The sequence below is a fragment of the Homo sapiens genome, chromosome 19 (assembly GCF_000001405.40).
Source record: "Homo sapiens chromosome 19, GRCh38.p14 Primary Assembly".
NCBI classification, from domain to species: domain Eukaryota; kingdom Metazoa; phylum Chordata; class Mammalia; order Primates; family Hominidae; genus Homo; species Homo sapiens.
In genome coordinates, this window is record NC_000019.10 from 33,479,794 (window position 1) to 33,506,037 (window position 26,244).

General features: G+C 51.6%; 1 protein-coding gene across 3 annotated transcripts in view, besides 4 other annotated features; it reads right to left on the reverse strand.

Moving 5' to 3' along the window:
• Positions 1–26,244, reverse strand: part of PEPD (peptidase D) — a 134,842-nt gene that overhangs the window by 92,844 nt on the left and 15,754 nt on the right. For 2 of the 3 annotated variants that reach the window (NM_001166056.2, NM_000285.4), the window contains exons 4-6: positions 21,145–21,208; positions 13,497–13,544; positions 10,203–10,264 (exon numbers count right to left, since the gene is read on the reverse strand). In NM_001166056.2, the coding sequence (NP_001159528.1) occupies positions 10,203–10,264; positions 13,497–13,544; positions 21,145–21,208 (174 nt within the window). The remainder of the gene's footprint in view (positions 1–10,202; positions 10,265–13,496; positions 13,545–21,144; positions 21,209–26,244) is intronic. The other variant, NM_001166057.2, reaches the window with a different exon arrangement.
• Positions 6,299–7,159: an enhancer, noted in NCBI's record as "H3K4me1 hESC enhancer chr19:33976998-33977858 (GRCh37/hg19 assembly coordinates)". NCBI's record gives its function as "activates a minimal SCP1, AML or CMV promoter by ChIP-STARR-seq in primed H9 embryonic stem cells {active_cell/tissue: H9 hESC(primed)}" and the evidence as "EXISTENCE:reporter gene assay evidence [ECO:0000049][PMID:30033119]".
• Positions 7,160–8,019: an enhancer, noted in NCBI's record as "H3K4me1 hESC enhancer chr19:33977859-33978718 (GRCh37/hg19 assembly coordinates)". NCBI's record gives its function as "activates a minimal SCP1, AML or CMV promoter by ChIP-STARR-seq in naive H9 embryonic stem cells {active_cell/tissue: H9 hESC(naive)}" and the evidence as "EXISTENCE:reporter gene assay evidence [ECO:0000049][PMID:30033119]".
• Positions 8,020–8,879: an enhancer, noted in NCBI's record as "H3K4me1 hESC enhancer chr19:33978719-33979578 (GRCh37/hg19 assembly coordinates)". NCBI's record gives its function as "activates a minimal SCP1, AML or CMV promoter by ChIP-STARR-seq in naive H9 embryonic stem cells {active_cell/tissue: H9 hESC(naive)}" and the evidence as "EXISTENCE:reporter gene assay evidence [ECO:0000049][PMID:30033119]".
• Positions 23,323–24,039: an enhancer, noted in NCBI's record as "NANOG-H3K4me1 hESC enhancer chr19:33994022-33994738 (GRCh37/hg19 assembly coordinates)". NCBI's record gives its function as "activates a minimal SCP1, AML or CMV promoter by ChIP-STARR-seq in naive H9 embryonic stem cells {active_cell/tissue: H9 hESC(naive)}" and the evidence as "EXISTENCE:reporter gene assay evidence [ECO:0000049][PMID:30033119]".

A 26,244-nucleotide genomic window follows, 5' to 3' on the forward strand; every position in this document is an offset into this window, starting at 1 on the left:
TACCACATTTTCTTTATCCAGTCTACCACTGATGGGCATTTAGGTTGATTCCATGTGTTTGCTATTGTGAATAGTGCTGCAGCGAACATACACATGCATGTGTTGTTAGAACAATTTATATTCCTTTGGGTGTATACTCAGTAACGGGATTGCTGGGTTGAATGGTATTTCTGTTTTTAGGTCTTTGCGGAATTGCCACGCTGTCTTCCACAATGGTTTAACTAATTTACACTCCCACCACCAGTGTGTAAGTGTTCCTTTTTCTCTGCAACCTTGCCAGCATCTGTTACTTTTTGACTTTTTAATAAAAGCCAGACAGAATGATTTTTTAAAATATGATCCAATTATATGCTCTAAAGAGACACACTTTAGATTCAAAGACACAAATAGGTTGAAAGTAAAATGATGAGAAACGATATGCTACACAAACAGAAACGAAAGTGGAACTAGAATGGCTATACTAACATCAGACAAAATAAGCCCTAAGATACAAAGTTTTACTAAAGACAAAGAAGGGCATTTTATAACGATAATTAGGTCAATCCACAAAGAAGATAAAACAATTACAAATATATGCACATAACAGAGCCCTAAGATGTATGTATCAAAAACTAACAAAATTGGAGAGAGAAACTGACAATAGTTGGAGACGTCAATAATCTACTTTCGGTAATGAATAAAACAATTAGACAGAAGATTAAAAAGGAAACAGAAGACCTGAACAAAAACGCGGTGGCTCACGCCTGTAATCGCAGCACTTTGGGAGGCCAAGGCGGGTGGATCACGAGGTCAGGAGATCCAGACCATCCTGGCCAATATGGTGAAAACCCGTCTCTACTGAAAACACAAAAATTAGCAGAGCATGGTGGTGAGCGCCTGTAATCCCAGCTACTCAGGAGGCTGAGGCAAGAGAATCGCTTGAACCGAGGAGGCGGAGATTGCAGTGAGCCAAGATCGCACCACTGCACTCCAGCCTGGCGACACAGCAAGACTCCGTTTCAAAAAATATATATATATAGCGTGTGTGTGTGTGTGTGTGTGTGTGTGTATATCAAAAACCTAACACGTAGCTCTAAAATACTCAGCCAATAGCAGCAGAACAGCCATTTTCTCAAGTGCACATGGATCATTCTCCAGGATACACTTTATGTTAGGTCACAAAACAAGTTCCAATACATTTCAAAAGACTGAAATCACACTAAGCATGCCCTCTGACCACAATGGAATGAAATAAGAAATCAGTAACATAAGGAAAATAGAAAAATTGACAAATATGTAGAAATTAAACAGTAGACTCCTAAATAACCAATGGATCACGTATCAAACCTTACAAAGGAATGAAAAAGGGGGAAATTACTACTGACTTTACAGAAATAAAAAAGTTTATAAGGGAATATTATAAATAACATACAGTAACAAATTGGATAACCTATTTGAAACAAATCCCTAAAGACACAAACTATTAAATTGATATAAGAAATAGAAAATCTAGGCTGGGCGCAGTGGCTCATGCCTGCAGTCCCAGCACTTTGGGAGGCTAAGGCGGGCAGATCACCTGAGGTCAGGAGTTCGAGACCAGCCTGGCCAACATTGCAAAACCCCATCTCTACGAAAATACAAAAATTAGCCGGGCGTGGTGGCTTGTGCCTGTAGTCCCAGCTACTCAGGAGGCTGAGGCAGGAGAATTGCTTGAACCCAGGAGGCTGAGCATGCAGTGAGCCGAGATCGTGCCATTGCACTCCAGCCTGGGTGACAAGAGTGAAACTCCATCTCAAAAACAAAAAAAAGAAAGAAATAGAAAATCTAAACAGACCTTAACAAGAGATCAAATTTGTAATAAAAAACTTCTCATAAAGAAAAGCCCAGGACCAAATGTCTTCTATGAAATGAATAGAAATTCTATCAAATGTTTAAAGAATTAACACCAATCTTCATAAACTCTTACCAGAAAAGGGCCAGGTGCAGTGGCTCATGCCTGTAATCCCAGCACTCTGGGAGGCAGAGGTGGGAGAATGGCTTGAGGTCAGGAGTTCAAGACCAACATGGCAAAACCCCATCTCTACTAAAAATAAAAAAAATTAGCCCAGCGTGATGGTGCACACGTGTAATCCCAGCTACTTAGGAGGCTGAGGCAGGAGAATCACATGGACCCAGGAGGCGGAGGTGCAGTGAGCTGAGATCACACCACTGCACTCCAGCCTGGGAGATAGAGAGACTCCATCTCAAAACAAACAAATAAACAACAACAACAACAACAAAAACAGAAAAGGAGGCAATACTTTTCAACCACTCTACAAGGTCAGTATTACCTTGATGCTAAGCTAGACAAAGACACCTTAAGAAAACAAAATTACACACCCAAATTCCTTGCGAATAGAGACAAAAATTTTTCAACAAAACACTAGCAAACAGAATCCAGCAACATATAAAAAGGATATATATACATCATGACCAAGTGGGATTTTTTCCCAGGAATACAAGATTCCTTCAACATACAAAAAGAAATCAATGTAACACATCAATCATATTAATAGAACACATAATAAAACCATATGCTTGTATAAATAGATGGAGAAAAATAAACTGATAAAATCAAACACCTTTTCATAATAAATACTCAATGAACTAGGGAGGGAAGGGAACTTCTTCAACTTGATAAAGAGCATCTACAAAAAACTCCCTCAACTAACATCATAGCATACTGAATGGTAAAAGACTAAAAGCTTTCCCCTAAGATGAGGAACAATGCAAGCATGTCTGCTGTCTCCAATTCTATTCAACTCTGTACTGGAGGTTCTAGCCAAGGCAAACAGGCAAGAAAAGACATGAAAGGCATCCAGACGACCCTGCAATTCCACTTCTAGGTATATACCCAAGGGAACTGAAAGCATATGTTCACACAAGAAGTCTGACATCTATGCTCATAGCAGCATTACTCAGAACAGCCAAAAGTTGGAAGCAACCCAGGTGTCCACCAACTGATGAATGGACAAACGAAATGTGGTACGTATCCATAGAAAAAAATATTTTTCAGCCATAAAACAAAGTAGTAGTGACAGAATAAGCAAGCAGGGAAATCAGGAAAGATATAGAAGATATAAACAAGAAATTAACCAACTTGACGTAATTGACATATACAGAACACTATGGCCCATAACTGCAGAATACATGCTTTCTTTAAGTGTATGTGAACATTTATCATAATGGTCACGTGCTGGAAGTTTCAACATATTTTAAAGGGCTGAGATGCAGAGAACATTCATTAATCACAGTAGAATTAAATGAGAAATCAAAAAATATCCATGGCTCAAAGATAAAAATACAATGAAATTAGAAAATAACAATATGAAATATCATAACCTGTGAGAAATGCAGCTAAAGCAGTGCTTACAGGAAAACTCATAGCTCTAAACATACACAGCAGAAAAGAACACTGAAAATCAGCGATCTAAACTTCCATCCTAAGAATGACCCTTGAAGAAAGCAATGAAATAAAAAGGAACCATATAAGAAAAATCTACAAAGCCAAAAGCTGCTCTTCGATAAGATGAACATCATTGAAAAGGTGACCCCAGGAGACAAAAGGATCAGGTCAGAGCACATCTCTGACACAAGAGAACCCTGTGTGACACAGAGCTCAAGCTGGAGAACAAGGTAGCCTAGCACAAGCTATAGGCCTCAGCAGAGAAGCCTCGGCAAGACTTCAACTCTCTGGATTCCAAGACCTGCTCCTTAGCCAGGTGTGGTGGCTCACACCTGTAATCCCAACAGTTTGGGAGGCCAAGGCAGAAAGATCACTTGAGCCCAGGAGTTCAAGACCAGCCTGGGCAATGTGGCGAGACTTTGTCTCTACAAAAAATTTAAAAATTATCTGGGTGTGTTGGCGCACACCTATAGTCCCAACTATTCAGAAGGCTAAGGTGGGAAGATCGCTTGAGCCCAGGAGGTTGAGGCTATAGTGATTCATGATTGCACCACTGTACTCCAGCAGCCTGGGCAAGAGTGACTCTTGCCCAGTCTCTTTAAAAAAGCCTGTCTCTTTAAAAAAGAAAAAAAGACCTGCCCCATCTTAGGGAAGGATAGCACACACAAGCACACGCAGGGTCGTGACCTCCTGTCCTCCTGCCAGCCAGGGACCCTCCATGGCTTCGTTAATGGTGTTGAAAACACCTATGTAATGCCATGGTTGTGAGGCCAGCAGCCCTTCTAGCTGAGCCAACTGAACAGGGGCAGGGACAGGGGAGAGAAGAGAGAAGGGGGTAACAGCAGACTGAGAGGATTCCAGATGTCTGAAGCTTTCAGGATCCTTAACTATACAAACAGAACTATATGATTCAAAGTCAACCTAAATGTTGTGGAATCAAAGCCTTACTTATGAAATATCAAAGAGACTACGGGCAGCCAGTGTGGTTCAAAGTGAAGAACAGGGCAGCAGGTGACATAAATCAAAACTACAAAATAGACTCTGGCTCCCACTGCACCAAATGCCACTTTGACCCTAGGAAAAGCAGTGGCCAATCTACTCAGCAGCCAAACACACCACCACCATTTCATCTTACTCAACGTACGTACGCATACACACGTGCACATGCACACAAGCAGCAAAGTGACCCAGCACAGAGTGACTCAGCACATAGACACAGATGCACACACGCAGACACACAGAGACAGGCATACGCTTGGAAAAGAGGCACACACGGACACATACAGCCATGTGCACAACAGGGGCATGCTCGGACACACATAGATAGACCCCACTGTATATGCACACACACAGATGTAGGCAGGCATGAACAGGAACACATACACACAAACACACACTAAGGCACAAGCTTAGGGGAATGTAGACACACATATACACACACATACTCAGACAGGCAAATACTTAAGACACACAAAAAGATCCACACCCTGATATACACACATACAGGTAAACACAGACACAGATCAATGTGTATACACAGATAGACACACACACACACACTCAGACACAAAAATATACTCAGAGAAACACAATCAGACACACACGGAAGAATCCAAAAGACAAGGTTAACAGGTTGAACCCTGGGTAATAAAATTCATATAGTTCTCATTTTTGCCTCCATGCTGGTTAGCATTTTCTACAATGAGCATGTATTAATCGTGTAAAAGTATCAACGAAATCCCACTGGGCCTGTGAGGGTAGGCGTGCCCTGGAAGCAGAGTGTAATTTCCTGATGAGCTCTAAATGTGGGCTGGGAGATGAGAGGGCCAAAGCCCCTGTCCCAGGCCACTGGCTTCTTTCCGGGCATATCTCACCCAAAGATGAGGCAGCCCCTCCACTCTGCTCCCTGCCAAAGGGTTGGGTCAGGTTCTCACCTCTTGAGGGTCCCTCCCCTCACCGAGAACTCCATGGGTCACAATTAGAAAGCCAATCCTGGCTGGGCGCGCTGACTCACACCTGTAATCCCAGCACTTTGGGAGGCCGAGGCAGGTGAATCACCTAAGGTCAGGAGCTCGAGACCAGCCTGGCCAACATGGTGAACGCTGTCTCTACTAAAAATACAAAAATTAGCCACGTGTGGTGGTGCGCACCTGTAATCCCAGCTACCTGGGAGGCTGAGGCGGAAGAATCATTGCAATCTGGGAGGTGGAGGTTGCAATGAGCTGAGATCGTGCCACTGCACTCCAGCCTGGGCAACAGAGCAAGACTCTGTCTAAAAAAAAAAAAAAAAAAGAAGCCAATCCTAAATATTAACTTGATATCCAAGTTAACAGTAACCAGAAAACCACGGTCCTCAAACCACAGATTGGTATTTTGCTGTAATCGTCAAGTTTTAATAATGTCCCTCTACTTCCTGGGTTTTAAAATTCACATCTTCGGATATTAATATTCCTGCATTAACAACCCCCAAATTCAGAATTTCATCTTTAACTGCTTGCTTAAATGGAATCAATTCGTTACCAATTGTCTTCAAATATGCAGGGTGATCTAAGTAAATGCCGAAAGATAAGAAATACACTTAGCCTGAATAAGTGTATTTCTTACACTGATGTAAGAAATGTAAAATACTGACCATATACAATGGCAGGAAACGGAGCCCCTGTCACTCGCTGCCCCGGCCCAGGGCTCCTGGGTACAGCTTCTGTCTGTCTGGGAGGCGACTGCCTTGTGCCAAGAAGGCACCCTCGTTAAGGCATGGAAACTTGATGGACAGGCATCCCTCAGCTCAGGCCACCCAGCCCCTGCCAACAATCCCCCAACAGACCATCTCTCCTTCATGGTCAGTCTCCTGCTCTCAGGAAAACCTGCCCTAACGTCTACCTCCTTAGATGTTTTCAGAGATCTACCATGTCTGACTTTGCTCCCAGCCTTCAGGAGCCAAGTGTTCCAGGGAGCCTATCTTGCCATCCGCAGGAAGAAGTCTCAAGTCTCTTGCTGCAGGGTTCCCCTCCCCATCTCAGCCCCCACTAGCCCCCAAACCAACCCCCCATCATGCCCCCGCCAGGACCTGGCAATGAGCACCCGACCCCATGCCCACACCCACCCCTCCTGCCAGAGCCCGCAGCAAAGCCTGCTCTTCCCAAATCTTCCTTGGGACTGCTCCAATCAAGCCACACACGGAACTGCTGCCTGGGCCGGACCCCAAACTCACAAGCCCCTACAGACCATCCCGGCCTACACCCTTCACGCTACTGTCATCACACCGAGCCACATCACTGGGTGAGCCCAGGGGCCTCAGTCCACAGGGTCTCTCTGGCCGTGTGCATGCCCACCACCCTCAGCCCACCTCTGCCCTGTCCCCTCTGCTCCTTGTCCTCTGCTGTCCCCACACCTCGAGACCCCACACACTCTTACTGCAGGCAGCAGGCGGCCTGGCCCTGATCTGGGGAGGTGGAGGGAGGTCTGAGACCAAGGCTGAGCCCAAATGGGACAGACCCCAGGCCAGGCACCCCGAGTAGCCACACCTGGAGGGGTCCTGGCCCAACCATCCAGCTGGACCAGGGTCCCAAGGGTATAGGCTGGGTGGACAGGTGGGGACCACTGTCTACCACAAGCTCCTCTTCCCTGCAGGCCAGGGGATAAGGGGAGCTGGGGGGGCCCATCAGGTCAAACCAAGAGGCCAAACCTGAACTTCTGTTAGAGGAGGAGGTCAATCGAAGCCCAAGGTGCAAGGTGCTGCAGAGACATTTAAAAGGGTCAAAAAGGACAATGCCGGGAACAAGCAGCTTCATCAGAGCAGTGAGAGGCAACTGGGGCGGAAGCAGCTGCGTATTGGAGAGGAGGACGACAGCAAGATTCATCTTGCTTGGGAAACAGGCTATTAATATCCCAGCTAGCAGCTGGAGGTGCACCCGGCAGGCAGGGGAATGCGGTTGCTGAGCGGCAGCGGCTCTTGGGGACGTGGTCTCTGCCCAGCCCGGCACAAAAGTGCTGGCAGCCTGGGTGAGTGGAAGGCAGGGGGATGAGCTGCACCTGGACCCCAGGAATGCAGACAAGACTGTCCACAGGGAAGCGGCTGGGAGCAGCTGGAGGCAAAGGCTGGGGCCCCATGTCAAGGCCCACGGCATGCAGGGTAGGGGGCACCAGCCAGAGCTCCTGCCTCAGTGAAACAGCCCTGGTGGCAGTGAGGTGGAAGGCCCCGAGGGGAGAGACATGGGTGGATGGCCCCCTGCAGGGGACAAGGAAGGGAGGGAGGAGAACAAGCAGGCCAGAGATGGCCACGAGGGTTCTCACCCGCTGCGCATTGCAACAGCCAAGTCAGAGACTCGGCCAGCAGCCCAAGGCGTAGGTGCGGAAACTGACGCACCAGCACCCGGGGTGGGGGGCAGTGTCTCAGCCCAGCCCCCAGCTGAGGGGCCGGGTGAGCACCCCCCAGTCAGCCCCAGCCTGGCCTGGATCAGAGATTGGAGAGGTACCAGCCCGGTGCCTGGGGAGATGGTGCAAAAGTAAGGCAGTCCCTGGCTCTCCAAAAAGTGTCCCAGTGGTGACAGGGTGGGGTGGGGAGTTTGCAGAGCACAGGCTCCTCTGGGCTCTTGGCAGAGGCCACAGGGACTGGGGGGCAACAGGTGACAGAGACTGGGATGAGAGGTCACACCTAGGAATCCTCCTGGGGGGTAGAACGAGACCTTTGCTTCCTGACACTCACTGACAGTGATGAGGGCCCTGGGGAAGCCCAGGGCCCCACCTGCCTTCCTCGGGGAACCTCAAGGAGCAGCTGGCAGAGCTCTGCTTCAGAGGCCACATCTTGAGCTCCTGGCTGGGAACCACACCCACCACACAGCTGCCAGACGTGGTCCAGGGGGGCTCAGCATTCTCTCTAGAGGAGGAGCAAGCAAAGCTCTCACCGCTGAGAAGGCCCTCGACTCACTGACATCTGGGAAACTGGGAATTGGTGATCCTGGAGCCCACCTGGCCCACCACGCAGATGGGGAGACTGAGGCACAGAGGAGCAATGGGATTTGCTGGGGTTTGCATGCGGGCAACTGTCACTGAGCACCAGCTCTGTGCCAGGCTCCAGGTGAGCATGATCTCCTCCAGTGCCCACCACAAGCCCAGGCAGCACCAGGTTACACGTGGAGGAGCTGAGGGTCCCCCTGCTGCAGAGACCCAAACAGAGGCCATAGAGAGGTTCCATGGCATGGTCGAGGAAAGGTGTGCAGGACACTGGAGACCCAGCACCAGGTAGTGCTGGGGGGATTCAGGGAGTCCCGGGACTGGGACAGGCAGCAGCTGGCTGTGCCCGTAGCCCCTCTGAGGGCCTGGGGGCCTGGGGAGAGAGAGCAGCTCCATGGCCAGCATTTCAACAAGCTGGGCTAATTGCTGCCAGGCGTGGGAGGCGGGGCCGCTTTGGGGAAACTCCCAGGAGGACACGAAGATCTGTGCAGTGAAAAAGCAAACCTACTACCCGCCCCTCCACCCGCCCCACTGCTCTTAGCATAGGGGGAGGTGGGAGGTGATACATATTCATGAGCTCATAATCCCTCATCACCCCTACATCACACACAGAGATTCCAGCAGCTTGGGCTCATACATAATTATAAGGCGGTTCCTCCATCACTGCCTTGGTCCACCAGAGGACAACAGAAGACATGGGGGCTGTAGGGGATGCATGATAGGGGAGGGGCTGGGGATCCAGGTCCCAAAGTTGGGGCTGGGAGCTGCCCACTGTCCACGTGCAGCAGCCTCGAGCGCAGGGGCCTTGTCTGCTATGGCATCAGCCAGCAATGCAGGCCACAGACCCCCAGGGCCAGTCACCAGCCAGTCCAGGGACCCAAGCACATCCAGTGGGCAGGGCTCTCCCGCCCTCTCCAGGCTCTCCCGGGGGCTGTGGGTGAGGGGTGACAAGCAGGGGAGGGGCGTCTTTCCCTGTGCCCAAGGTCTGTCCTCCTGCCTGGAGAGAAAAGGGGAACCGCTTCCCAAGCAGGGTTTGGAGGCTCAGCCTGGCGCTTGGTTAAGAGTGAGAAGAGGTTAAAGGGATCCTGCCTGGGATTAGGACAGCAGGGGACACAGGGGAGCTGCTGAGAGCCGGGTTGGAAGGGGTTAATGGCTGGGACTAAGAGAGGGGGCTTGGGACAGGCACGGTGTCTCACATCTGTAATCCCAGCAGTGTGGGAAGCTGAGGTGGGTGGATGACCTGAGGTCACGAGTTCGAGACAAGCCTGGCCAACATGGCAAAACCCCATCTCTACTGAAAATACAAAAATTAGCCGGGTGTAGTGGCGGGTGCCTGTAATCCCAGCTACTCAGGAGGCTGAGGCAGGAGAATCACTTGAATCCGGGAGATGGAGGTTGCAGTGAGCCAAGATCGGGCCATTGCACTCCAGCCTGGGTGACAGAGCAAGACTCCATCTCAAAAAAAATAAAAAAATAAAAGAAAGGGGGTGGTGGCTTGATGCACAGACCACAGGGGCTCACAGCAGATGTTTAGAGGGAAAACAACCCACCTGTGCCTGCCCCTGCCCTTGCCCCTGCCCCTGCCCTGGCCAGGGCTGCCTGAGCACTTTCCTTATGGAGCAAACAGACACGGGGCACCTTTCCTTCAAGAAAAATCAAGGTGATTTTTGGCAAATTATGCTTCTAAACATTTCCTCAAAATGCCCAAACTCCTTAAAAAGAAGTTTGCATAGTTCATGTCTTATTTGTAGACCGGGAAAGACCTGCTAGTGAAGGTGGGAGTGGGGGATGGTGGGGAAAGAGTCCCTGGGGGCCCAGGACTCACTTGCTGATGCCGTCAAAGGAGGCCTCCCTGCAGACACTGCCGCTGTCCGTGTTGACGCCACGCTGGGGAGAGAGAACACAGACATGACACACGGGGCCGCATGGCGCCCCCACAGCCTGCACCCCTGAGGCCTCCAGCTAGGCTCAGGACAGGTAAGAACAGGATCCCCTCCTGCCTTCCCCCAACAGATGAGCCACCCAGCCAGGTAGCTCCAGGCCCGGCCCCAACACAAGGACAGACCTCTTTGCTACCACTTGCCAAGTGGAGGAAGTGGGGGCCCCCCAAACTCTGCAGCATCCCAGCTGCACAGCAAGGCCTTCTCCATGGAGGTCAGAGCACTCTGCTGAAACCAGCCAGGCTGCCCAGGCACAGGCGAGGACCCGGGACCACTCCCAATATAAATCTGCTCTCCCCAGCCTGGTCCATCTTCCCTCTCCTGCACACACTCCCCACTAACTGTATAACATCCGAAAGAGTCCTGTCGAACCCAGCCCTTCTGGGGAGGTGTGCAGGACCTGACTGTGGCAGGACTGCTGTGAAGCAGGGAGACATCCCTCTCTTAACTCCAAGGAGACTCCAAATGGGACTTGGACAGGAATGGAGACAAAACAAGGGACTTGGAGAAAAATGGGCCCTCTCCAGAAAGGCAAGGCATTTTATTTCATTTATTTTACTTATTTTTTTTTGAGACAGTGTCTTGCTCTGTCACCCAGGCTGGAGTGTGGTGGCACCATCTCGGCTCACCTCAGCCTCCACCTCCCAAGTTCAAGTGATTCTCCTGCTTCAGCCTCTCGAGTAGCTGGGATTACAGGTGCGCACCACCATGCCCAGCTAATTTTATATTTTTAGTAGAGACATGGTTTTGCCACGTTGGCCAGGCTTGTCTCGAACTCTTGACCTCAAGTGATCCGCGTACCTCGGCCTTCCAAAGTGCTGGGATTACAGGCATGAGCCACTATGCCCAGCCTGGGCAAGGCATTTTAAATCACCATTTCTTTACCCAGAACTTCAGCTTGATGTCTAATTGTATATCTAAATTGAACACATTGGATCATCTATGACCATAATCATCTCACATAAGTTTCCCTTATAGCCATCAAGACAGTAAAGCAAAAAAAAGGGGCCAAGTGCTAAAGGAAATAACTATTTTGGTAAAAATCAATTAAGAAAAGAGAAAGGCTGGGCACGGTGGCTCACGCCTGTAATCCCAGCACTTTGGGAGGCCGAGGTGGGCAGATCACCTGAGGTTGGGAGTTTGAGACTGATCAACATGGCGAAACCCCGTCTCTAACAAAAAACACAATATTAGCTGGGTGTGGTGGTGCATGCCTGTAATCCCAGCTACTCAGGAGGCTGAGGCAGGAGAATTGCTTGAACCCGGGAGGTGGAGGCTGCGGTGAGCCAAGATCGCTCCACTGCACTCTAGCCGGGCAACAAGAGCAAAACTCCATGTTTGAAATGTTTGTTCTTCAGTGCCATAAAGAAATAGCACTTGAACATAAATTTAATTTATTTAGTAAGGCCATTTTCACTTCCTGCAGAAAGGGTACACTCTCCAGCAGTTTTGCCACGAGAGTTCACCAAACAAAGGAGACAGGGTCGTTTATAACCTGGCGTGTCCACCCTACTGCTGTGTCCGGTTTCCACTGCCTGGAACGGGACCCCACATTCTGTATTTGTCCCGATTGGCTAGCAACTTAGAACTTTTTAAAAGAGGCAAAGGTAGAGGGGGAGAAAGGAAGGAGGAAGTAACTTGTGGAATGCTGAGAAAGGTAAAAACACTTTTAAATAAGGAAGAGGAACAGGCTATGACCTTATGTTTGCTTGGACCAGTATAAGCACATCAGGGCAAATATTTAGGTTAAATTGTGGGAGCTAAAAACATAAAGTATATTGATTTCTTTATTACAGCTAGCAGATATTTAAGAATGTTAGCACAGGTCTTTGAATAAATTTTGCTTCTAAGAGAAGTTACTGTTTATTTCTAATTAGACGGGGAGGAAAGTCTTTGAAGAGAAACCTCTACTTTACTTTTTATATTCCATTTCAAAAAAAAAAAAAAAAAAAGACAAGAGGGAAGGGTCACTTTGGGGGGAAGGCTTGTGGACATGCCTCTTATATGAAACTCCCAAGCTCAAAGAAGTGTAAGAAAGCACACTTCTCTGAGAAATTCCAGAGAATTCTTTGGGGGCACACCACAGCTCAAGTGCCCCCAAAACCCTGCCGGCGTACCCAGAGCCCACCTCGCACCCCCCACCCTAGCCCAGGCCCTCGGTCAGTCACTGCGCCCCACACCCCTGCTACCTTGAGGGCAGACGCCCGGTGGTGTGGTTTTCAGACCCCTTTAACAGGGGAGACAGAGGGTGGGAATAAACTTTCTTTTTTCCTTTTTAAATTTTTTATTTTTAGTTTTCATGGGTAGATATTAGGTGTATACATTTATGGGGTACCTGAAATATTCTGATACAGGTATGCAATGTGGAATAATCACATCAGGATACATGAGCTATCCATCACCTCAAGCATTTATCCTTTCTGTTACAATCCAATTGCACTCTTCTGGTTATTTTTAAATGTACAATAAATTATTGTTGACTGTAGTCACCCTGTTGTGCTATCAAATACCAGATCTGATTTGTTCTACCTAGCTATATTTTGGTACCCATTAAACTGACTTTCTACATCCACAAATTCCAGGAGCTCAGCCTGACACAAATACATCTTCTAGCCAGGTTTAACCTTAGGAGTGGGTGTGGCGCCAGGCCCACATCCTCACGACAGGACACAGCAGGTCCCAGGGAGACTCAAGGATGGGGTCCCATAAACAGCTATTCAGACTGAGCAGGTATCGCTACTTATCACTGATGACCATTCCTCTTGGTTTATTTTTTTCTTTTTTTGAGACAGGGTCCTGTCTGTGGCCCAGACTGGAGCACAGTGGCGCGATCATACCTCACTGCAGCCTCAAACTCCTGGGCTCAAGCACGCCTCCCACCTCAGCCTCCCAAGTAGCTGGGACCACAAGCACATGCCACCAGGCCTGGCTAACTTTTTAATTTGTTGTAAAGACAGGGTCTTGCCATGTTGCCCAGGCTGGCCTGGAACTCCTGGCTCCAAGCGATCCTCCCACCTTGCCTCTCAAGGCACTTGGATAACAGGCGTGAGCCCCTGGACCCAACCCCTCTCCGTTTTTTAATCCTCCCCTATGGGCCCGACCTCTGCAGGAGAGGTGGCCCCCATAAAAACCCTCCCCAGAGCCAAGCACTGCCCCACCCCTGGACACCAGCCACTTACCAAAGTGAGGAGGACAGAGGGCTTCTGTGACGTCAGGACGCTGGCAATCTAGAAGGTCGGAAAGAAAAACCCACTTTAGAGGCACCACTAAGCCTAATGAAGATGACATGCCACCATTCCTTCATAATGACAGTGCACATTTATCAAGCAGATCATTAGAACAGGCGACGTGGGCGCTGCCCTCACCCTGCAGGTGAAGAAACCCAGCTTCCCCTGGTTGAAGGACTTCTGAAAGCCACACAGCCATCGAGGGGCAGAGAGGATAAACCTACACCTGGCTCGCTTCCCACCGCACCGCCCTGCTTCCAGGCACCACACAGATCCCTGGCTCCAAGCAGCCAGCCCTACCCACCCTCCAAGGCCAGCCCCTCTGCCCATCTGCAAAGTCCCTGCTCAAAGACCCGTCCCCCGGGAACCCTTTAGGCTCCAGGCCTACCAGCCTCTGGTTCCTAGGGCAGAAGACTCCCTCCCTGCTCCCCATTCAACCCCTAGACCCAAGGGAGTTGGCCTTCCCCAATCCCACCCTCTGGCCCCCACCCCACAGCCCACTCTCTGTCCCTCCACCATGACCCACTTGGACCTCCTGCCACTGCAAGCCAGTTACTTCCCGGCCCAAGCCCTTGCATCTGCATGCCGGGCCAGCTCCTCTCTCCACGCCTCTGCTCCAGCTCTTATCTCTCCCTGAGTGCCTTCTTCCCATCTTAGTGCCTCATCAATGTGCACTCAGGATGAAAGCCCCAGCCCCCTGGGCAGGTTCGTTCACTCCCTCCTCTACTGCCCCACTGACAGTCACCATTCCCCCAGCAAAGTGCCATGTGCCAACCAGCCTGCTGGGAGCAATTTCTTCCTCTGCCAGCCCCTCCTCCTCAGTCTGGCCTGCATCTTGGCTACTGCAGACCCTCTTGTTTCTGAGCACCCCCTGGGCAGAGAACAGTCTCATCTCCACAGCCCTCGCCTCTCCCCACACCCCTATCCTAACTCTTTACACCCGAAACGCAGGGGGAGAGTGAGGAGAACTTGTTGTTGTTTTAACAGCTTGATTGAGTGATCACTGACATACTCTATGCTGCCTGTATTTAACATAGACATTTTGATAAGTTTTGACATATGTATACATATACCTTTTTTAATACTGAGATGCCTCCCAAGAAAACCTGGAACGTATTGAAAACTATAAAAAGATAAAATGCACGTACAATCCTATCTCCAGAGACATTTTAGCTTTGCTCATAAAAACAGAGATCTGTAATGACATTTGGATCATATGAAATTACATGCTTCACTTATTTCCTGTCATTATATGTTCTTCAAACATGCAATTTTTAGCAGTCACTACCGCTGGGGACAGTAAACGTCCAGTAGGTCGCTGAAGACGGCCTGTGCCAGTCATCTTACACACAGCATCTCATTTAACCACACGGGGAGACAGTGCGGCAAACATGCAGGTTTCGCAAATGAGAATGGCTTACAGATTAGAGAACTTGCCTGAGTCTGGTTAAAAAATAACAGCGCAGCCCAGATTTGAACCTATGGCTGTAGAATACTCTCTTAATGGACACTACTCATTCCTCTACGGACACTTAAATTACATCTAATACACTTTGGGAGGACAGGGCAGGCAGATCACGAGGTCAGGAGATCGAGACCATCCTGGCTAAAACAGTGAAACCCCATCTCTATTAAAAATACAAAAAAAATTAGCTGGATGTGGTGGCGGGTGCCTGTAGTCCCAGCTACTCAGGAGGCTGAGGCAGGAGAATGGCATGAACCCAGGAGGCGGAGCTTGCAGTGAGCCAAGACTGCGCCACTGCACTCCAGCCTGGGCAACAGAGCAAGACTCCGTCTCAAAAAAAAAATTACATCTAATAATTAGCAATTATAAATAACGCTGTGATGAACATCCTCGCATACAAGTATTTCCTTAAAATTAAATGCCAGCCAGCCACAGTGGATCATGCTTGTAATCGCAGCACTTTTGGAAGCTGAGGCAGGTGGATCGCGAGGTCAGGAGTTCGAGACCAGCCTGGCCAAATGGTGAAACCCCCATCTCTACTAAAAATTAGCCGGGTGTGGTGGCACGTGCCTGTAGTCCCAGCTACTCAGGAGGCTGAGGCAGAAGAATCGCTTGAACCCAGGAGGCGGCAGCTGCAGTGAGCCGAGATCATGCCATTGCACTCCAGCCTGTTGGGTGACAGAGCGAGACTCTGTCTCAAAAAAAAAAAAAAAAATTAAATGCCTTTAAAACTGTTGGGTCAAAAGCCACAGACTTTGTCAAGGTTTACCATGCTCCTGGCCCAATGATCCTCCAGACATGTATCAACAATCTCCCGGGATCCTCCCTCATGTTACTGAGTGACTGCTTGGAGAATGGCTGTGTCCTTTGGCCTCAGTGTTGCAAAAAAACAAAAGGCTCAGCTGGGTGTGGTGGCTCATGCCTGTAATCCCAGCACTTTGGGAAGGCTGAGGCGGGTGGATCACTTGAGGTCAGGAGTTCAAGACCAGCCTGGCCAACATGATGAAACCCCGTCTCTATTAAAAATACAAAAAAATTAGCCGGGCTTGGTGACTGTAATCCCAGCTACTCGGGAGGCTGAGGTAGGAGAACCGCTTGAACCTGGGAGGCAGAGGTTTCAGTGAGTCGTGACTGCGCCACTGCACCCCAGCCTGGGGGGCAAGAATGCAACTCAGTATCAAAAACAAAAAACAAAAAAAAACACCCAAAAGGTTCAGCTGTGTCCCTACACACCCTCAGCCCCTCCTGAAGGAAGGGGAGACTTATTAAAAGGAACAGGGGTACACATGCCGGCCCTAGGTGTGTTGTTACGTTGATGTGAATGTTCTGCATTCAGCTGCACAGAAGGAGCCCGTCAATTACAGCAGCTGAATCAGAAAGCCAGGAGGCACTTGGGGATTGTATCTGCTATCGTCTTGGGAGGGAGGAGCAGGATAACAAATGTGTGGGCTGATGGTTTTTCTCCGGGCGACGACTCTCAGGACATGCTGGTTAGGAATAATGGAGGAGGGGAGAGCAGCCGTCTCCTTGCAGCCCGGTGCTCAGACAATCCAGGCCTGACTCTGAGAGCAGGCTGTGCATCTCCTAGTCCTGGCAGGGCAACATCTTTTATTGATCACAACTGCTTGAGTGGGCCCTGGTTACTTCTGCGGCTGCAAAAACCTCTCCCGACCTGGCAGCTCCACCCGCCCTTCCCCATGGAGACCCATTAGTGCTACGCTCTCATCAGCACACCCTGACTCCGTGCCTCAAATATTAAGGGAACACGACGCGCTGTGCGTTGCTGGCTCCCGATGTATCCCCAGCACACAAGACAGCACGGCTCTGTCAACTCAGGGCCTCGTTTCCACGGAGTGGTGGCCACTGGGGACCTCTCACACCCTGCGCTGTTAAATGACCCTGCCTTGCTTCATGCCAGAGCCAGCATCGATTTCTCCGGCAGCCCCCGGCCTCTCTGGCAGATGGAGCTGGATGGTCACGGGCAGAATTCATCAGAGCCCTGTGGGTGTACATCCTCCCCTGGGGACAATCAGAGGCTTCCCACGGACACCTCCTGCACTTTCCTAACCAGGGCCCAGACCAGGCCCGAGGGCCGCTTTTCGCAGGGTGATAAGCTGGACAAAAAAGCTGGATATGCCTTTGCCAGCGCTGGGAAAGCCTGCAAGGCTCCAGAGAGCTGGCTCTGCCCTGCAATCACTGAAGCTTTTGAAAATAAACCTTCTTTCGTGGCATTCTCCTCCAACAGTATTGCACGCTGGTGGCCTGCACTGCTTTTACAATTTCAAATTTGTTTCTCAAATGTAAACATCAGGAAACATCACCAACAGTCTGGATGTGTGGCTACTCCTGAACAATCAGGTTCCTGGAGCCATGGGCTCGTGGTCCCACAGCACAGTGGCCCCTGCTGACCCCATCGCTTCCGATGCCTGTCCCTGTGCTGCTGCGGTTGTCCTCTTACATCTGTCCTGCCTGTAGCAGACTTGGTGACCCTCGGACCTTCTCACATATGCCTGGCGCCATAAAGGGAAGCAAGTGCATGGAACGCACGCTTCACCTGCCAGCTCTCAGCCGGTGATCCCGCCAGCCTTTGCACAGGGCCTTCACGGCAGAGCCTCGGGGCCCCACTCAAGGTTCTGCTGAATGCCTCCTTCTCAGGGGAACTGCCTTCTCAATAAACTCAGGATCCTCTGTGGGGAGGAGGGAACCTCGGAGCCAGCTGTGCCCCATCAGACACCTGCATGGCATACATGCTATCACGTGACCAGCCATGGCACTGGAGGCCTTCCTGCCTTTTTTCAGAGGAGACAAGCGTTGGCTGTGATTTGTCACTGACAGCTAAGGCCACCCCAAGTGAGATGGGGCTGAGCACTGCAGAACCAGCCTGGGGACCCCTTCCCTGCATAAAGGGCTTCCTGTAACCTCCCATGATGCAACAGGCCCTGGGTACCTCAAGCAACCTGGGATACCTCCCAGCTCAGGGGGTTCAGTCCAGCAAGTCACACTTTTTGGCAGGCTCCCTTCAGAGCCACAGAAAATCAAAGGCACAGGGAGTCCATGTCGCCTCCACAGGAGTGTCCTACAGCAGCCCTCCTTTCTGAGGGGAAAGGGAGGCCTGGAGGGGAGGCCCCTGGCGTCACATCCCAGTACCACTCCCCTCCAGCTGTGGGACTGTGGACGAGGCCTTTCTCTCTGAGCCTCAGCCTCATATCTATGAACGGGGTGGGGGCTACGGCCCAGCACAGTCCCTGCCCCGCTGTGTCCCTCCCGCAGCGGGAGGGCCAAGGGGCTCCAAGAGAGCTCTAGTGTTACTGGAGCCCACGTGGGCCGCCCCAGCATGAAGCGCTTGCTCTGCTGTCAACGTGAGCCTTGTTCCCAGTAAAAACAGCAGCAGTAACAGTAACATCAACACCAATCTGCAATGGCAGTGGCGTTGACGGGGTGCGGTGGGGTGCTCCCGAACCCTAAAGAGATTCTAGCCTTTGAACTCTACTGAAGCCTCGACAATCTGCTTTGTATACGAAGACGAAGAATGAGCCGGTCTCTGTGCTGTCATTCTGTGCAACCATTAACAACTTCCCTGCCCTAACACTCAAGGTGGCCTGTCTCTTACTTTGCTTAGAGACCAGTTCTCCTTCCTCACCCCCAGAAATCACAGTAGACACGGAGCTGAATTTTCCCCCAGTTATAAAGACAAAAATGTCAGACAGTGGCTGGGGAGGCTGTGGTCCAGAGGTGGCTCGGACTCAGCAGCTGAGTCCAGGGCAGAGGCAGGTGCCGGTCCCACCACGGTCCTTGAGACAGGGTCCTGGAGGCAGGTGCCCATCCTGCCAGGGTCCTTGAGACAGAGTCCTGGAGGCAGGTGCCCATTCCACCAGGATCCTTGAGACAGGGTCCTGGAGACAGGTGCCCATCCCGCCACAGTCCTTGAGACAGGGTCCTGGAGGCAGGTGCCCATCCCACCAGGGTCCTCGAGACAGGGTCCTGGAGGCAGGTGCCCATGCCGCCAGAGTCCTTGAGACAGGATCCTGGAGTCAGGTGCCCGTTCCACCAGGATCCCTGAGACAGGGTCCTGGAGGCAGGTGCCCATCCCGCCAGGGTCCTTGAGACAGGGCCCACCCCAGGCTGCCCCTCCAGGTTTCACATCGAAGAGACCTGAAGGGTCAAGGTTTCAAAGGACAACAGTGTTAAGAAACAGTTTCTGGGGCAGGGAACACATCTGCCAAGGAGAGGGTCGGAAGGAAAACGAGAATGAAGGAGTAGGTGCCTCCTGCTCCACTTCTGAGACATACAAGGCAAGTGGCAGATGGTCTCATTGGGAGCATGCAAATAAACGTTCCGTCTATTTTAGATCCTGTACTCAACGGGATCAATATGATAGGTCACATGTGTATTGACAGAATCTTCAGATGTTAAGAGTCACCCCCAAAAGCTTGGGATTGAAATAACATAACATAAAGATCCATCAAAAGCCTCCTCTCTCCACAGTCCAACCAGGCAGAAGATGCTGTAGAGACAGGCCCCCGTGGCCCTGTAGAGGTGGGCAGTGCCCTTCACAGAGGCTCTTCCAGGGATCTCTGCCCAGGCACCACCACCCTGCGGTGACTGTTCACTCATGTGGTCACCTCCTGCACTGGACTGTGCCCTGGGCTGTTGAGGTCAGCCCTGGGTCTCGGCCACCTCTGATGCCCTACATGTCCCTGGGACTGGGCAGGGAAAGAGTGCAAGAGGAACGTCTGGGGAAAAAGAACTGGACGTTCAAGACAAATACAAGACAGTCAAGGGCAGGGTGCACATCAGAACACAGTCAGCGTCCATGGTGTCCACAACTTGGTCCTGAGGGCTCAGGGAAGGGGCACCAGTGTGGGCCAGAGTCTACAGCAGATACAGTGGCTGCTACAAGGCTGGTGCAAGGCCTCAAAAGATGGATAGGAGAAAGACAGAGAAATGGAAAACATATTCCAGGACAGCAGTACCGGGGGCAGGGCTGGGCACATGGTACTGGCCCACCTGCAGTCAAAGAGGGCTGGCCACCCCCGAGCTGGATGGGCCGGGCTGGGCCCCCACATGCTGGGCAGAGACAACTGGTCTCTCACAGCACTGTGTCTGGCCATGATCCCTGGGAACCTGCTTCTCACCCAGTGCCGTCATCTTCAACCAGGCTGTGTCCTGCCCAGGGGAAGGGGGAAGCTGCTTGGCCGCCAGAACTGGCTCCCCTGGCCACTTCCACACTGCAGCCCCGGCTCTTAGCATGGCCGACACATAATCTCTGTCTGGGGAAATGTGGCTACAGGATGGCCCTGTCCAAAGCTGATGCTGCCAGGTCCAGGTTGGACTCCCAGTGGCAGGCATTGACTTCTGGGTGCTTCACATTCTACACGGCACTGACCTGCACAGGACGTGGGGTTGTGACAGCGCCCAGGGCCAGAGCACAGAGGCCTCCTGTGTGCCAGGCAGTGGTTTAGTGTCAGGGCCTTTGGTCAAGTAGACCACAGGGGCTCCCAGCTGTGCTCTCGCCTCTGTCCCAGCCCTGCCCCACTGGCAGGAAGGAGAGCTGGAGTCGAGGAGTCAGGGCAGCCCCTTTGACCTGCCTGAACTTGGTTGGCACAGATTCAAAACCCCAAGAGGACAGCCACATGCCTACCCAGGCCACACGACACCTGCTGGACAACCCCACTGAGAAGTGGATTGAAGTCAGGGGACCTCCAATGCTACTCTACAAGCCTTTCACAGCCTCGGGCTTTTCTGACAGTGGCATCTGCAGTCAACCAGGGCTCGAGACACACGAAGACCCCGGCCCAGCCTTGTGGTGACTTAGACCGTGTGCCACCGCTGCAGGCAGGCCCGCCTCTCAGAGACACCTCATGTAATCTCAGCGGCCACAACCCAGGTCACCAGACACTTCTACCCACAGAGTCAGGGGCCTTCCCAGGCAAAGCAATGGCTCCGTAGAGAAGCCTGAGGCATGGGTTGCTGCCTACTCCTTCCAAATGGGAGCACCTGCGGCGCAGGGACTGGTGGCCAGGTGGTAGTGTCCCTGACATCCAGCAAGGTTGTGGCAGTGGAAGGAGAGGAACTCCAGGAGTGGAAGGCATGCTGGAAGCCCTGGGCTGCTCAGAGGAGGAGCCGGCTACCCACCTCATCTACGTACTGGACGTCGTCCACGGCATACTTCTCCTTGAAGTGCTCCTTGGAATGGATCCTCAAAGAAAAGCACAAGGAATATCAGGGTCAGGGCTTGGTAATGGCTCAGCATGGCCACCTTCCTGCCTGCCAAGCCCAGGCCATGGAGCCCCAGTCCCATCCCTATCACGGTCAGCACCCAGCACCCAGCACCCGGCACCGAACAGGTCGGCCCAACACACACTTGGAGGGCAAAGGCCATTAGGCCATGGAGTGACGGCTGAACCACAGCTGCTTTCCTCAGCAAGCCCCGCTCCTCCGTGACCCTAGCCACCTGCAGCCAGCCCCTGCAGACAAAACCCCTATCATCCCCTCCACTGCCAGAGACAGTCCACCAGGGCAGCCAGCCAGTGCACCCGTCCCTCTGTGGCATAAAACAATCTGCCTGCCAGGTCTTCATGGAGCATCTTTAAAGGAAAGTTTATTTTAAGGTCAGCCGCAGAATCCCAGCACTTTGGGAGGCCAAGGCAGACAGATCACAAGGTCAGGAGATCCAGACCATCCTGGCTAACACGGTGAAACCCCATCTCTACTAAAAATACAAAAAATTAGGGCGCGGTGGCGGGTGCCTGTACTCCCACCTACTCGGGAGGCTGAGGCAGGAGAGTCACTTGAACCCAGGAGGCGGAGGTTGCAGGGAGTCAAGATGGTGCCACTGCACTCCAGCCTGAGTGACAGAGCGAGACTCCATCTCAAATAATAATAATTATTATTATTACTATTTTATTTTATGTTCTAGAGACAGCATCTCGTTCTGTCACCCAGGCTGGAGTGCTGTGGCACAATCATAGCTCACTGCAGCCTCAAACTCCTGGTCTCAAGCAATCTTCCTGCCTCAGCCTCCCGAAGTGCTGGGATTATAGGCATTAGGCACTGTGCCCAGCCAAAAATTAGCATTTTTAGAAAGTCAGTATCAGTATTACTCAATGTGATGAGAAAAACTCAAGCTTATTCATTACCCCTGAAAAATCTGCCAGTGAGAAGACACAGAATGGATGAGGTTGGGCAGCCCTCGTCCACCTCCTGATGGGCCCTTTGGTCACAGCTGTGCTAGGCAGACCTCCAGCCTGGGTCCAGCAAGCCACCACCCCCAGGCTCTTGGTCAGGAGATAAGTCAATGTCTCTGTTAGTGACAGAGCTTACGCAAGGGGAAAGGAACACAAACTGCACAGGGGAGACACTGAGAGCCAAGTCCAATGACGCACACATACTCGGTCCTATGTCATCCCACACCTGGGCCCCACCTCATCACACGGGCTCTATCCCCAGCCGTGCTCCAGCCCTCCAGCTGTCTGTGACCTCACAGTGTTACAGTCACCAGGTGCTGGGTCCCAAATAGGCCTCAGACAAAAAAACAGCAGATGGTTTCTGGATGGTGTTTCCTGGGCTGTCAAGGGGTGGTGGTGAGGCAGGAGAATAGGGTCGGGAGGCGTTAGGGCTTTTTCATGCTGACTTCCTAGAACTAAATTGAAAGGAAAACCCTAACTTTCCACACCTAAGTAACAAAGGACCAGAGGCTGCTCCCTTTGCAAACCCCCCCTTTTTTTTGAGGCAGATGGGAAATTGAAAGTACCTCTGATTGCAAGTAGAGTCTTGGTTTGCAAAGAAACGCAACTTTGTAACTTCACTTTAGCCTCTGATTGGTTGCAGAAGTGAAGTTACAAAGGTTGCTTTCCACAACCAATCAGACTGATGGCAGGCCACCACTTCATTTACACCAGGCGAGCACCAAGTGGCCAATGGGAAACCTCCTGGGGGTATCTGGACCTGAGAAGATTCTGTCACTAGGCCTTGAGACTCTGCTCAGCCGGCTCCCACACTGTGGAGTGCACTTTCATTTTCAATAAATCTCTGCTTTCATTCTTTCGTTGCTTCATTCTTTCCTTTGTGTGTTTTGTCCAATTCTTTGTTCAAAATGGCAACAACCTGGACAACTTGCAGTCAAGACCCTCTACGGATAACTGGGGGGCGGGGGGGGGTGTTGTGGGTGCCAAGGATAATGTGCCTGGAGAACCCCACGGAACACGGTGGAGGGAGAGAACCTTGGGACTTGGAGGTGATGAACTTCACGAGTGAGCTCCTGAACTGGTGTCCTATGTGCCATTCTCAGCCTTTGTGACACTAAGGACCAGCATCACCTGCAGGAAACAGAATCTGCTCCTCTCTCTGAGTCCTCCACCACTTCCCTCCCCACCCAAACCAGGAAGTACTGGCCACAGGGCCCAGGGACGGCTGCAGGGAGCAACAACAAGGAGCACTGAGGGCCCGGGAGACGCTGGTCTCACCGTAATCAATGGACTGCTCAGTGCAGCCCACAATGCCCTTTGCTTTCTCTCCCTTTTGGCTTCTCTGAAATGATCACGGGGTATCAAGCTCCTGCTGTTAATTAAATTTGCATGATTCAGTCACATTCACTTGTGCATTTGAGACAGGACTCAAAAGTTAAATGGCCAAGGTCTGACACCTCCATTAGCACGGCCTCGAGCAGTTATGGGGCACGAATTGATGACGAGCGCCTCGCCTGGACTTCGGAGGCCCCAGACGCAGGGCTTATTGTGCAGCTGGCTCAAGGGAAGCCTACAGACCCTTTGCTACTGAGCAACCACACTCTCAGCACCGAGTTGACCCCACAGCCCGGCACAAAAGCAGGTGTCAGAAATACAAAAGGCAGGGCCATCAGCGAAATGCGTGGCTGGGATCAACACATCAACTCGGACTTTCTGGCTCCATAACAAACACCCTGCGTCCCTCAGTTGTTCCCAGCTCTGCCTCTAGCCCCCTCCCTTCATTGCCTCCAGCTGTGACAGGAGTGGAAGGCAACCTCACGGCAGAGTGGGGAAGTACAAAGGATCTGATTTTGAGGCCAGCGCCCTACAGAGGGGCATCTCAGCCATCAGTGTGGCACCTGACCTTGTCACTTCCACTCCCGTTATGGGCCTGAAACCTCCCAACTCACCCCAACTGTGCGGAGGGAAGCCACCAGGAAATGCATTCCCGCCCCTCCTGCCAAAAAGCGCCTCCCAAGCCAGAGGTCTGGTTCTCAACAGAAGAGCCATTCGACAGATACAACCTGAAAAGCTGCAAGCAGCTTTTCTGGCAACTGTGCATTGCATTCTCTTTTAAAGGGCAGAGATAATTAAGTTTAGATAGTACTTATTTTTCATGTTTGGGGGCTAATTATAGTAAAAACCATTTAAACGTCATCCTAAGGGATATGCGTGCCAGACTCCCACGTCAAACCAGCCACCGAAGGCTTGGCAGCCATGATTTGGTGGGGTTGATGAGAAAAGAAGAGGTGTGGCCACACAAGCCCTGCAAAGCTGGCTGGAGAGGCCCCTGAGGGGCTCTGGACTCCCTGAGGCCAGGCTGGCCAGGGCAGGAGGCAGCCACTCAGAGGGAGGGCCTGCACCCTGCCCTGTGGGGAGTCTGGGGTCCAGCAACGGTACTTCATGTCAGGCCCCATCGCATGGGAAGTCTGGATGGAAACAACCAGACTGGAGGCCGGGCACCGTGGCTCACGCCTGTAATCCCAGCACTTTGGAAGGCCAAGGTGGGCAGATCACCTGAGGTCAGGAGTTCAAGACCAGCCTGGCCAACATGGTAAAACCCTATCTCTACTAAAAATACAAAAAAATTAGCTGGGTGTGGTGGCTGTAATCCCAGCTACTCAGGAGGCTGAGGCAAGAGAATCGCTTGAGCTAGGGAGGTGGAGGTTGCAGTGAGCCGAGATCGTGCCATTGTACTCCAGCCTGGGTGATGAGATCAAAACTCTGTCTCAAAAAAAAAAAAGAAAAAGAAATTACTGGACTGGGGAGGATGGGTCAGCAGAGAAGCTGCTGTCACCCCACACACACTCCCCTCAAATGCCAAGGATAGCTTTGGGAGGAGAGAGGAGAAGTCCTCCTACCCAAAGGGGCTCTCGTCCTCCACAGGGGTCAGCATCCAGGGACCCCAGTTGGGCCCTGGCATGGATGAGAGAGGCCTTTCCCAGTCCCCGGAGTCAAAGCCCATGACTGCACACTCTGCAGTGACTGCCAGCAACTGTGGGGGCCACGGGTGGGAAGGAGACATTAAATTAATGCCACACAGTGCAGACACGAGGAGCCCTCTAGAAAATGAAATTTCAAAAAGCAGGTCTTGCTGGCTGGCTGACCACCTGCATGCGATTAATGAATAAGTAACAGGGCCAAATTACAGCCATCACCATCCATTTCCCGCGGCCCGGCCTGCCTTCAGCTACAAACAATGCTGCCTCGCCGACTCTCACTCTGCTCTCCACAGAAGGCAGCGGCATTTGCTCTGCGGTGGAAGCCGGCAGCCATCTGAGGATGTTAGCTGGTCAGAGACAAAAGCAGACCTCGCCACAGTGACGCAGGTGCCTATGCCCAAAGACCACTCCCGGAGCAAGCTTCCTCACAGGGGCCACAGAGGGAACAGCGCTGCCCGGGAGGCTGGAGACCAGGTCCAGTGACCAGGCCTGCCCAGGGTCAGTGCCTCAAACCACCCGGGCAGCAGCCGAAGGAGCTCCTCAGCCCCTTCTCAGAGGCCTGCACGGCAAAGAGGGCCCCCGACACCCTGCCAATCACAAGGAGCGTGGGAGGGAGGCACCAGAGAGGCTGGGGAAGCCTCGATCCTGGGGACACTTAGTGGGGCAGAGCTGGGAAAAACACACAACACACAACACACAACACACCCTCATCACAAACACCCTACACAACACACACACCTGCACACAACACGGCACACTCACACCCACCACACCCCATCACAAACACCCTACACATTATTTACTCACACACCCACACACCCACATACACCCTCATCACAAACACCCTACACACTACACACACCCACACACAACACAGCATACTCACACCCACCACACCCCATCACAAACACCCTACACACTACTTACACACCCACACATACCCTCATCACAAACACCCTACACACTACACACACACCCAATACACCACACTCACACCCACACCCCATCACAAACACCTTACACATCACTCACACACCCTCATCATACCCTACACACTACACACACAA